At 36.0% G+C, this 13,519-nt stretch overlaps 1 protein-coding gene across 8 annotated transcripts in view; it reads right to left on the bottom strand.

Annotated features, from left to right (window-relative positions):
- Positions 1-6,654: 6,654 nt before the first annotated feature.
- Positions 6,655-13,519, bottom strand: part of GUCY1B1 (guanylate cyclase 1 soluble subunit beta 1) — a 48,791-nt gene continuing 41,926 nt past the window's right edge. For 4 of the 8 annotated variants that reach the window (NM_001291952.3, NM_001291951.3, NM_000857.5 and 1 more), the window contains 5 exons: positions 11,887-12,124; positions 10,702-10,842; positions 9,719-9,873; positions 9,237-9,363; positions 6,655-8,080 (listed from right to left, as the gene is read on the bottom strand). In NM_001291952.3, the coding sequence (NP_001278881.1) occupies positions 8,057-8,080; positions 9,237-9,363; positions 9,719-9,873; positions 10,702-10,842; positions 11,887-12,124 (685 nt within the window). In that variant the 3' untranslated portion in view covers positions 6,655-8,056. Of the gene's footprint in view, positions 8,081-9,236; positions 9,364-9,718; positions 9,874-10,701; positions 10,843-11,886; positions 12,254-13,519 lie in introns of all 8 variants that reach the window. The other 4 variants (NM_001291953.3, XM_011531901.2, XM_017008131.3 and 1 more) reach the window with 2 other exon arrangements.

Raw genomic sequence — 13,519 nt, 5'->3', positions numbered from 1 at the left:
GAGAAATACCTCATATAGAACTCATTTTCCTTTATTACTCTTTTTATCACCATTTATATTATGTTGTAGTATATAGAATGTTAGAGTTCAAAAGAAACACTCTATTCAAAACTACATCTTATAAATCAGAATAAAAAGTATAAACCTTCCTATACTCTTTTTTCTTAATTTAATGACCCCTTCAACTACTCAGCTACTTGTTTTGTTTTTATAAATAACAAGGTTGATCCAATCTTCTGGTAAGGAGGAAACAAAACAATCAAGTATCTAAGATGATTGTTTTGGATAAAAGATCCAATCAATAACCTGTATATGTAGACCTGCACTGTTCAATATGATAGCCACTAGCTTCATGAGACCACTGAGCACTTGAAAAGTGGCTGGTCTGAAATTAGATGTGCTGCAAAATGTAAAATACACACTGATTTTAGTGTATAAATACACACTGATTTTAAAGTGTATAAATACACACTGATTTTAAAATGTATAAATACGCACTGATTTTAGTGTATAAATACACACTGATTTTAAAGTGTAGAAATACGCACTGATTTTAGTGTATAAATATGCACTGATTTTAAAGTGTATAAATACACACTGATTTTAAAGTGTATAAATACACACTGATTTTAGTGTATAAATACACACTGATTTTAAAGTGTATAAATACACACTGATTTTAGTGTATAAATACACACTGATTTTAAAGTGTAAAAATACACACTGATTTTAGTGTATAAATACACACTGATTTTAAAGTGTATAAATACACACTGATTTTAAAATGTATAAATACGCACTGATTTTAGTGTATAAATACACACTGATTTTAAAGTGTAGAAATACGCACTGATTTTAGTGTATAAATACGCACTGATTTTAAAGTGTATAAATACGCACTGATTTTAAAGTGTATAAATACACACTGATTTTAAAATACACACTGATTTTAAATATTTAATTAATGATTTTAAATGTATTACATGTTGAAATGATCATATTTTGCTTATACTGAGTTAAATAAAACATATTATTAAAGTCAATTTCACTGGTTTCTACCTTTTGAAGTGTGGCTACTAGAAATTTTTAAATTTAAAAATCCATGTCATATGTGACTTATATTTGGGCCTCACATTGTATTACTATTAAACCATGCTGTTAGACATTACCCTTGCAGTGTTCTTTTTTTTTTTTTGAGATGGAGTTTCGCTCTGTCGCCCAAGCTGGAGTGCAGTAGCGCTATCCCAGCTCACTGCAATCTCCTCCTCCTGGGTTCAAGCCATTATCCTGCCTCAGCCTCCTGAGTAGCTTGGATTACAGGCACGTGACACCACGCTCAGCTAATTTTTGTATTTTTAGTAGAGACGGGGTTTCAACATGTTGGTCAGGCTGGTATCAAACTCTTGATCTCGTGATCCGCCCACCTCGGCCTCCCAAAGTGCTGGGATTACAGGCATGAGCCACCGCGCCTGGAAGTTTTCTAAACAGACTTAAAAACACTGTGCTTTAGAGGAAAAAATAGTTATACTAACACATTAAGAAATTGCAACCTCCCATTATTCAATATCCTGTCCAATACTTGCGATTGAGGATATACAATTATTAAACAGGTGCCAAAATCACCACTGCACACACAAACTAGCACTGTGCAAAAGGCTTCCAACACCAGACACACTTAACTTCATAATGCTTCCTGCCTGTAATGCTTCTTCTGGCTACTGGCTTCTTTGGACAGACCACTAGGGTTTTTTGTCAGATCAATTTGAAATCTACATATTTCCTGAGACTTGTATTTTCTTCAGGCCCTGCCCTCACCTTGTCTTGGATTCCAGGACACAAACTTCTCAGGGGACTCCCCTGACCCCCCCTCTTCAGAGCCCCAGTTGCCCGGGAGCAGAGGACTCAGTCGCTGATTTCACCCATGCCTGCCTTAGACTGTAATGATTTTTACACAAAAATAAACAAAATATCTTTGATTACGTTATTTGTACTAGTACATCTAAAACTGTATGTAGTCACAGTGTCAGATTTAGGTACTGTTGTTGTCCAGAACAATATGATGGTATTATATTCATGGGTATATAAAAATTATTAATATATTGACATTTATTCATGTGATGCAGAAAACCACAAAAGGGACAGTATTTACAACAGTTTAAAAGTGTTTTCTAAGTTAATACTTTAATTTTATGTGACTCCTTTCCCCCTAATGATCTAAAACTGTTTGGTAGGCAACTGTGGTCACTACTTTACATAATTGGGAAATATATTTCATAAGAATAACATTTTAAAAACCCCAACCTATATGTAATACTCACTGATATTTTTTACCTGTAATTTTTTTTGAGACAGATTCTTGCTCTGACGCCCAGGCTGGAGTGCAGTAGTGATCTCAGCCCACTGCAACCTCCGCCTCCCAGGCTCAAGTGATTGTGCTGCCTCAGCCTCCCGAGTATCTGGGATTACAGGTGCCCATCACAACATCCGGCTAATTTTTGTATTTTCTGTAGAGACATTTTCACCATGTTGACTAGGCTGGTCTCAAACTCCCGACCTCAAGTGATTCACCTGCCTTGGCCTCCCAAAGTGCTGGTTTACAGGCGTGAGCCACCATGACTGGCCCCTATATTTAAGCCCTATTTGGGATAGACTGTACCACAGCAATTGTGTGAGTACATATAATTGAAATAGAGACATACATTCTCTCCTTGTTTTCAGGTCATCAAGAATGTGACTGTTTATTAAACACTTAAATTTAGCTAACATAATTAAATATTATAGGGCACATTTTTAGTAGACATACATAACATTAATACTCATATACACTAATCAGGACCTTAGTCATTTTGATTTTAGCTTGGAGTCAAAAGTCCTCACCAAGTGTTTACCTCAGATTTGTTTATTTCTTGGAAGTTAGCTTTCAGTCTTTCGGTTGATCTATTCAACACTACTAGATTGTCAAAACTTTAGATTGTATTCCCAAAAGTTTCAGGCCAAAATCCTAGCACAAGAGTTACTGGAAAAGGGTACTGATCCAGACCACAAGAGAGAGTTCTTGGATCTCATCCAAGAAAGAATCTGAGGTGAATCCACAGAGTACAGTGAAAACAACTTTATTAGGAAAGTAAAGGAGTAAAAGAATGGCTACCCCATAGAGCAGTGGCATGGCTGCTGGACTGAGTAAACTTATGATTATTTCTTGATTAAATGCTAAACGAGGGGTGGAATATTCATGAGTTTTCCAGGAAAGGAGTGGAGAATTCCCAGGACTGAGAGTTACTCCCCCTTTCAGACCAGATAGAGTAACTTCTGATGTTGCCATGGCATCTGTAAACTGCCATGGCGCTAGTAGGAGCATCTTTTAAACTGCTAATTTATTATAATTGGGATATAATGAGCAGTGAAGATGACCAGAGGTGGCTTTCACTGCCATCTTGGTTTTGGTGGGTTTCGGCCTGCTTCTTTACTGCATGGTGTTTTATCAGCTGAGTATTTGCTTAACTACTGTTCTACAATAATCTGTATTATTATCTTTAAAGCAAAACGTATTCTTAAATTAAGAATACATTTATTCCTAAGATATTGGGACACCTGGACATTTCCTGGGTCTGTTAAGTCCTGGGTCTGTTTGGTAAACATTATTAACCTATTCCCTTAACTGTAGACATTCTGTGACTAAGAATGCCCAACGTCCTGGGAACGCAGCCCAGCAGGTCTCAGCCTCATTTTACCCAGCCTCTGTAAAGATGGAGTCACTTTGGTTAGAATGCTTCTGATACAAAAACCCTGGAATTGTTACCAACGAAATGATGGAATTTTGGAGCAATAATTTAGTTTGGATATCACCTTAACCAGCTCCTTTTTTTCAGATGAGGTAACTGAGTTGTAAAGTTAAGTGACTTGTAAAGGCCACAAGATTTCCTCACCAGAATTGGACTCAGGTTCTTGATTCTCTGTACGGTGCTTTGTTTTTTGTTAAATTTTGTTTTGTTAACTCACACTATATTTCTTCTCTTTGATACGGTATAAGTAGCAAGGAAGAATCACAAAAGCATTTTCTATTAATGTAAAATAAATTTTTTTCCAATTTTATCCTTATAAGTAAATAGTATCCTATTTCTATTTAATAACTTTTAACATGAGCTACAAGCAAGTTAGTTTACTCATAAAAATATTGTACAAAACTATTGTTCCTATTACAAATTGCTTGTTTTAGCAAATGTTTTTACCTTCCTGCAGAATTAGCAGGAAATATTTTGGTGACATTTCAGAGCAAGATACGTGTGGATAGATTTCATGCTATACAAATGGTCTTAATGAGTAGAAATAATTATTTTTATTATATTCCTTTGAACTTGAGAAAGAGTGGAAGGAGTGAATTCAAGGTTGCACACAGGAAGTGACAGCTAGGAGACAAGATGAACTCTGTCCTGTGAGAGAATGTCTCCTTTCAGTTCTTTTTCAGATTTCAATTACAAACAGCATTCTCTGCTGCCCTCTAGAGGTTCTATAAACCATTAGTGAGGGTGGTACAAAAAAAAAAAGAAAGAAAGAAACCTATGAGGGAGGTAAGCAAATTATTTTTCCTTTCAATGACAAAGGAAATAGAACATATCATTTGGTGAATCAAATACAGATTTAAACTGAATGAAATAGTGAATTAGTGCTAAGATACATATAATATATGTAATCTATAATATAATAAATATATAACTTATATAATTAAAAATACATACCTTTAAAATGGTATTTAATTGTTAAAGTTTAAAACAATTCAGTTCAAACTGATAAACTGTTATCGTTTCACAACATTTGGTTCTAATTTTTTGGTGGTTTCCACTGGGTTTGTTTCAATAATTGGCAAAGATAAATGTATTTATTGATTTTTCTTGTTGACCCTCCTGTTTTTTCATGACATGTGCTGTCCATGATTCAACTATAACAATATCTGTTACCAAAGATTTGTAAGTTTTCATTTCTTAGATTACCTTTTAGTCTTTCTGAAATGGCAAGCCAAAGTTCCAACTCCTCTGACTTCTTCGTATTTCAGTTTGATCTGCCAACAACTCTAGTGAGTGGTTATTATAATCTCTGTCTTTACAATGACCTAACCAGGTTACACAAAGGTTAAATGACTTTACCAATATCATGGAGCTAGTAACAGGTTGTTTGGAAATTCAAAGCAGTTTGGCCCAACTTGGAAAAAAAAGTTCTATTCTCTCCTCGCATTAATGCTACCTGAAAATCATTGTTTTTTAAAAATGTATTCACCAGAACTTCAAAGCCATGCCTAATATTAGGCACCTTTCCTCTAAGCTCAGTTACCTTTCTACATCCTCCACCACGTGTAATGGAACCATCAACTACCCACTAAGCAAGCCAGAAGCTTTCTACTTGGCCCTAACCTTCTCATCCCCTTTGGCCTGTGCGTTATTATGCACTTTTAATGTGAATCTTGACTGCTCTTCAATTAGCCTCCTGTCCTGCCATCACCTTAAAGCAGGCCTATGCATGAAGTACAGTAGCCCCCTAATGCCAACCTTAAACCAGGCTCTTTCCCTCTAAATTAGCCCCTGCACCAATGTCAGCATGATTTTCTCTAAGCACAAGTTTAACAGTGCCATTTTTGTGCCTCCTCTTTTCTCCAATCTATCTCATTTCTTATTCCTCCTTCCCTTTAAATCTGGCTTCTAGCCCCACTGCTCGAAGAGGCTGCTCCCTCCATTCCTTTGTTCAACAAATATTTGTCAAGTGCCTATTTTGTGGAAGGTTCAAGGAATATCTGGTGTAAGAGGAACTAATTTAGCCATAAGAAACTTAAAGCCTAATAAGGAATCCTATATATAAACAGATAATATGTGAACCATTGTAAAGATCCTGGGACAATAGGGGAAGCTAAACTTTCCTAACAGGGAAATTTCCAACAAGAGGATATTGAGCTGAGTCTTAGCAAGAAATGAATTTGCAGCAGAGTATGGGTAGAGGGTATTCAGACAGAGCAGAGCATAGAATTACAAAGGTAGCAACTAGCAGATAAGGCTGGTTAAGGTGACAATGTTTACATGCTTTGCTAAGGTGTACAGACAATGAGTAGCATTTAAGTGATTGTACGCAGGAGAGCAATTTGGATTTGTAAAAGACCACTCTGGCAGCAATTTGAGAGTGTGGAATGGAGGTGGCAAAGGTAGGAAATAGACAGATTTATAGGGAAGATCTTGCAATTGTTCAAGTTACACATGATGAGTGCCTGGACTTCGAAGAGTGTTGGCGGAATAAAGTAGAGATTTAAAAACATGCAAGATGTAAAAATTGGAATATGAGGTATTCAAAGGCAGAGATGTTTTGTTCAATGACATTTCTCAAATATCTTGAGCAGTACCTACCCAAAGTAGATGCTAAATAAATATATGCAGGATTCTGGGAAGATGACAGTGTCAATGTAGTTTCTGAGTATTCCTAACTCTCCCCCCAAAATAAGCATAACAACTATCCCCACTTCACCTCTTTTCTTTCAAGTTACTCTTTCTCTAAGTATTATTTCTGCATTTGAATATATTTCTTCATTATGAATATCGCATATTTTCATTACTTGTATACATGTCTATCATCCCTAAATGATTCAGAGCTCTTTAAATAAGCTGATGACATTCAATATTTAACTGTTTCCCCTTTCCATGCCCAGTCTTTATTTCCTGTCACTCTGTTGGTATTAAAAAGAAATATAGCATTTAAGAATATGCTGTCTATGAGGAGTCAGTGAAAATTTATAATGGTAGCAAATAGGCAAAATTGTAAAATGTATTTACAAAATAATGGCATTAATAAAATGAAAAATAATGTTAATATTTTTATTGAAATAAAAACTGTATAGAGACACGTGAAAAAAATAATTTATTACAGACTCTTTTACACATTAACATGGAACATTTATACATATATCGATGTGCTGATATGAAATACTAAATTTAAAGGCAAACATTTTTACACAAAAGTAGTTGCACTCTATTTTATAAAGATAGATATTAATAAGTTATCAGAGACATTTAAGAGCTAGAGGCCAATTATTCCAACAGTAATGCATTCTATGCTGAAAGTAAACTAAGTTTTCTGAACATGATGTCCTGGATATAATCACATTCTTCTAAGCTAAGGAAAGGGAGCTCATTTCTGGGAATACAAGGCCAAGAAGGGCTCTAACAGCAGTATCCCAGCAGTGTGTTTCCAGATTTATTCTTGGATGTGGTTGGAGCTCCCAACATTTAGCCTGAACTAATGTAACAGCTCAATGTGAAACAATGCAGCTTTCTGTAACAGCTGCCTGTGGTTAATGAGATTTAATACAGGGGATACAGTTACAAATGATAGCATTTTAGAAGAATTATAATTGCCATATGATTTGAATTAGTAATCAAATACTTTAATAACAGAAACGTGTATTCTATATTTCTGAAAGGGAAGTAGCATACTTCAAAATAGTCACTATTTTCTTAGCATGATATGTTAATTCTTACTTTGGGAGTCTGAAAATAAATTGCATTTTTTCCCCTAAAACTTAGAATTCACTCCTTTAGAAAATGATTTCTATAATGATATACACCAACATGATATAAACTTTATTACATTATAGTCATTAAAATATACATATACATATATGTGGAACACTAAACAGATTTGGTAAACATGATATAAATATACACATGGCCAAACACTGTTCAGTTTCATTTAACTAAATTCAACAAATATTTATTGGGTGCCTACTACTTGCAGATCACCATGTTAGGTAATGCTTGTAGTAGATTTTAAGACACATGAAGCTCACATCATCCACATCAAAAGCCAAACTTTAGATAATATACTAAAGCCTAAAAAGTAATAGAAAGCAGAGCTAAGGTTGAATAACGGATAGTGAGAGATATATCTAGAAGAAAGTCTTGGGGTAATGGACAAGGACAAAAGAAAATCTGTATCCATAGGGAAGAACTGCTCCTGGGCTTGGCACGTGTTAGGAGAAAACTGGAACCTAGTCTGTACTCCTCTTCACCCCATAATCCAAGATTCAGTCATCATCCTGCTTTGTTTCCTTAAATAGGCAGAAGAAAAGAGGGATTGATTTACAGTGATAGTGAGGTTTATAATATCAATTAAATATATTTTTCTCTTTATGAGAGTGTGATCCACGTTCACATCTACAGTTTCTGTAAATCATTCCCACCATAATTCTGGGAAAAACAGGACCGCACGACTAAGATGACCAATGTTTGAGGTAATTACGGCTTAGTTTATCAGAAGAACATCAATAAGCATGTCCACCTCATAGGAAAATGATTTAATGTTAAACCAGGTGAAAGAAGATAAATATTTCAAACCCTGGCATTCTATTCCCTTTAGAAGTTGTTATGCCCTAAAAGCATCTTTAGAGAGTTTATACACACTAAAAGAGAAATATGAGCATGCAGTCTTATCCCCCATGAGGAAACAACACATCAACAGGGTAACAAAGTATCAAACTTGCTTCTGATGCCACTCCTTACAAAAGGCTAGGAAGAGGCTAGCCATGATCTTAGTGTGTGCAAGGCCTCTATGAGAGGTGTGATTCCACTTTGGATGTGCCACTGTTCTGAAGTCCATTCTAGCACATGGGCTCTGCCTGGAGTATAACCATAGTAGTAGAAAGAACTTAAATCTTCCCTAAGGAATTAATCAGATTCTAGCAAGTTAAAAATCACTCATCTATCTAGGAGAAACACATGAGGGACTAGGATTTCCAAAATTCCCCAATCACTCCATAGAAAGATAGCCTGCCCCTTAAAAGGATCTTAAGCTTCATGGTTAAGAAACCTCCCATGAACCACAGCCCTTATCTGTGGTGATCTCAGAGCCAACTTAGAGAGCTGAGGAAAGGGGTCAGGGGAGCCCCTCACAGCCCACTTACCTTTGAGCCAGACTACAGAGGAAGAGCAAAACAACCACAACAGCAAGAAAAAAAGCAGCCTTCTCAATCCAGTCTGTTGGTTTTCATTTCATTAGAGGACAAAAATCACTAAAGTATCCCCTAAAAAGTACTTATGATTGTAATTGGCTCATTAATGTTCAATTATTTCCACTGCTTTACTTAGAAGTTAATTTCTGTTAGCAAGAATTCTTTTCAAATGAAATACATTTTCAGTGATTTTGCTTTAGTTTTCCATACTTATACTCTGTCTTAAGTACGCAAATTACACTTTGATTAGTCATACCTCTGTTCCTGTATTTTTTCTGGATAGAAACCAAACTTGCATTGGTTCTTTTTTGCCCTTCATGGACACTGGGCCTCTGTGCTCCAAGTGGAATTGTGGATCTGAATTTTCTGGAGACATAAGACATCTAAAAGACAAGGGAAGGGGAGTAGAGAGAGAAGTATACACAAGTTTTATAGAGAAGGTGACATGTATCATGTTATAAACCAAGATGGCAAGAACAAATGCTGAAGTTGTACTGAAAGGTAACTCAAAGCTTTAGAAACAATGATCATATCAGGATTTCCTAAGATGATGTGAAATCATATAAAATGGAAATAATGACACAATCTTCTCAAATAAAAAGTAAACAACTCTACAAGCAGTGGGGAAGAGTGAAGGTGATAACTCTGTTAAAGCAACAAAATCTCTCAGAGAATTAAACCACATGCAAAGACACATTTTCTTTGCAAATCAGTAAATACCAAGACATTTTCTCTCACCTGTATGTATATTCAGACACATTTATTTTTCCCTTTTCTCCTGTGGTTTCTGTTCGGCTTGTGAGGTTGACAGTATTCCCAAAAAGACAGTATCGAGGCATCCGCTGTCCTATGACACCTGTAACTACCTCTCCAGTGTGTATCCCTATTGTTATCTGCAAAAAAGAAAGCTTTGCTTCAATCATTTTGATCACTAACACATGAATTTTTTTTTTTTTATTTTACTTTAAGTTCTGGCATACAGGTGCAGAAGGTGCAGGTTTGTTACATAGGTATATATGTGCCATGGTGGTTTGCTGCACCTATCAACCCATTATCTAGGTTTTAAGCCCCGCACGTATTAGGTATTTGTCCTAATGCTCTCCCTCCCCTTGCCCCCAAACTCCCAACAGGTCCCGGTGTGTGATGTTCCCCTCCTTGTGTCCATGTGTTCTCATTGTTCAGCTCCAACTTATGAGTGAGAACATGTGGTGTTTGGTTTTCTGTTCCTGTAACACATGAATTTTTGCTTACTTTATATTACAGAATAATGTAGAGTCATCATATAACATCGTAAGAGATGTCTATAAGAATTTCAAGCATATTATGGACAACTTCAAAAGCCCTCCATGAAATCTCTATCTCCCCAGGGAAATATCCTATCTCAAGAGAAACATTTGAAGTCTGAAGATTTCAAAGATGTGAATCTAGTAACTTACATGAGACATGAAAGAGGTTTTAAAAAATAAACTAGAAGGTACAAGAGGTTTTTTTCTCATCCCCATGACTTTCAGTACATGAAACGGACTAGATAATTTCAAACAGGTAGATAAATCTCCATGTCTATGAAAGAATGTAGTACAGTGGGCTGGATGAAATGCTATAGTCTTTGTTGTCAAGATGCCCTTCTTTATACACGTTAATGATTTTCCGGACAACGATATGAATCAATTGTCCAAAAAGGTTTACATACCATTATTACAATATCTACTTCATTTACTAACCTGAACAGATTCACCATCTACTTGAACCTGGCCAGCAATTTCCATCATGTCCAAGGCCAGGTGGCAGATGGATCGTGCATGGTGAATGCATGGCTCTGGTAAACCACTCACTGTCATATACTTGTCACCAACAGTCTCCACCTAACAGTACATATATTTAGATGTTCACGGTTAGCATAAAAAAGACTGTTTCATTTATTACCCTAACAAAAAACATATTTTTTCAAGTCTACCAGCAACTTTAAGCTTCCCTCCCCCTTTAATTCTCTTAAAATTCTAATATATTCAACTCCAACAAAATGAAACCTTGCAATTACTTATAATTTACACACATGATGGACACTTGGGGTCTTTGATGACGGGCAGGTACAGACATAGAATTATTTTTCCTTTAGTAAGCAATTAATTTCTCACCTCAGATAACTTTATAATTCAGAAGAATAATTTTTTACATTTCTACCTAAAACAGTGATGGCTTGACGGCATGGAGAGCCACCATTTCAAGTTCAGTGATTTATCACGGTCATTAATCATTTGTTTGTATGATGTGCTCACCACATGCTAGAGTGTACCTCAGAAAATGACTATAAAATAAATAGTCCTTGTGTAGTTATATTACCCCAGATATCTAGAGATGGTTTACTTAACATTCTTGCCTTTATGTAGCAATATTCCACTGACTTCTTTTTTCCAATATTATATTTATTTCTAAATGAAACAAAGGGCAAAAACGCCTTATAAATGTTTATCTTCTTCAAGTTGATGTTATCTAAACGCAAATCTGAGTCCTTCTCATGCTTCATGACTTCTTTACTGTACAAAGCATTTATATATCTCAGTAAAAATGTCTCTTGCAGAGGACTAAAATGAATGCTATGTTTATACTACATGTGATAAACAGCCTGTCCAGATTTGTTAGCCTAAGTGCAAATAAGATGGTGAACATTTCATTTTAACCAGGGAATCACCCACTTCATGAAACATTCATTGTGGTTACAAGGAAGAGACAGTTTTATAACAAGAGGCAATTATTTAAGAACATGGTAAAGAGTGAATACATGGAGGCTCACTGTACTCAAGGCTGCAGTGCTGGAGTCAGAGAGCTGTGATGACATGGCCTCTGGAGGGGAGTCTCAGAACGCCAGCCTCTGGATAGCTCTGCAGTCAGCGATAAAGAACACTTGCCTTATAAACAAATGGGTTTTTCCGGGAATCAGTCAGTGTGTCAAATCTGGTGTAGAGGTCGTTGAGGAGGTTGACGATCTTCATGGCTCCTTCTCCAGATGCATGCTTGCTACAGAAAGCATTGAAGCCCACAATGCCACTAAAGAGGATGGTCACATTGTCATATCTTTTGGCAGGCACTGGACGCTTGTGCCGCAGCTCATTGGCAACAGACGGAGGAAGGACAGAATACAGCAATCTGTTCAGTGGGATCAGCAGAAAGCCACTGTAAGAAATACTGGGAAAGCCTTTAGTGCTTCTGCTGTCCTTTTCACACAGCATCAGTGTCGTTTGTACTTTAAAGGCCTGGATTCTAGCAGGACATCCTCTAAAATTAGCATCAAATATTAGCTGTATTTATAAGCAAGGATTTACAGAAAACATAAATTATTTGTTCATCCTAATCACATAAGACATCCGCAAGCCCAAACTAGTTCAAACCAAATCAAAATAAGCCAAGCAAACAGACAAAACAAAAAGACTGGTAATAGAAAATCAAAGTTTTCATTTGTAGTCCTGTATTCTGACCCTGCTATTACGATAGTCACAGTATGAAGACTGTCATTACCAGCACCTAAAACATGGTATGAATAGCACAATAATGGAAACAGGTTTGCCTCTTAGAATAAGAAATATGTCTCTATTTTTGGTAAGTAATATTAAAAGAAGCAGAATTTCTCTCCAGTCTCATTCATGCCTCACTCCTCCATAGAAGAAACTGATAAAACCAGAGGAAGTTGGTCTAGAAAATAAATTATTGTATTTCTTTAGGTACAACTGAGACTACTATGGGATCATGCTAAGGGACAAATGTGAGCACACAGGAGGAGGATGACAGCTGGTGAATTTAGAGGGAAAGAAGCAGAAACTAGACCTATGGGCTCTGGATTGGAAGACTGAAGAGGAACAAATGAAGCCTTCCTGCCTTTTTCTTCCTGCCTTTTGCTCTAAAGCAAAAGGGCATATGTGGGAAGTTTAAATATGCAAAATGGAGCTGAGCTCTCAATGTTTTTCCTAGTCATAGTAGAATTTCTCCGGTCTTTCATTTTCAACTTTTAAACATTGAATGTTTTATGAAATATTAAAGCTATATTTGAATAGTAAGTATGAACAGTAAAACTACTTAGCTTTAAAGAAAATTAATAGTAAATGGTTTCTAATGACATCACCTTGAAACCCAAATATCTACAAAAACCAAATTCTAAATCTAATAATCTAAAAAATAATATAAGGATTTTTGAAGCACAGTAACTCGAAATGGTGCAAATAGTTCCTGAATGTGAAACCCACCTTGGGGAATCCAAACAAAGAAGTAGTTCTGTAATAAGTACTTATCAGCTACTCGTATTAAAGACAAGGCCGCTGTTTAACTCCCAGCAACTCCCAGTTTTGGACTCCTGGTCTAGGAAGAGAAGCTAATACTCTGCTTAAGCTGACAATTTAGGAAAAGAAGTGAATTAAGAGCTTTTTCAGTACAGAATATCTGCATATGTCATAATTTAAAGGCTATGTTATTTATAGTGCTGGTTATTTATCTATTTATCATGAATGTAGATATTAGCAAATTGAGTCACAATACAAAAAAAATGAAACC

The sequence above is a fragment of the Homo sapiens genome, chromosome 4 (assembly GCF_000001405.40).
Source record: "Homo sapiens chromosome 4, GRCh38.p14 Primary Assembly".
Taxonomy (NCBI): Eukaryota; Metazoa; Chordata; class Mammalia; order Primates; family Hominidae; genus Homo; species Homo sapiens.
This window is presented reverse-complemented; position numbering and strand designations above follow the sequence as displayed.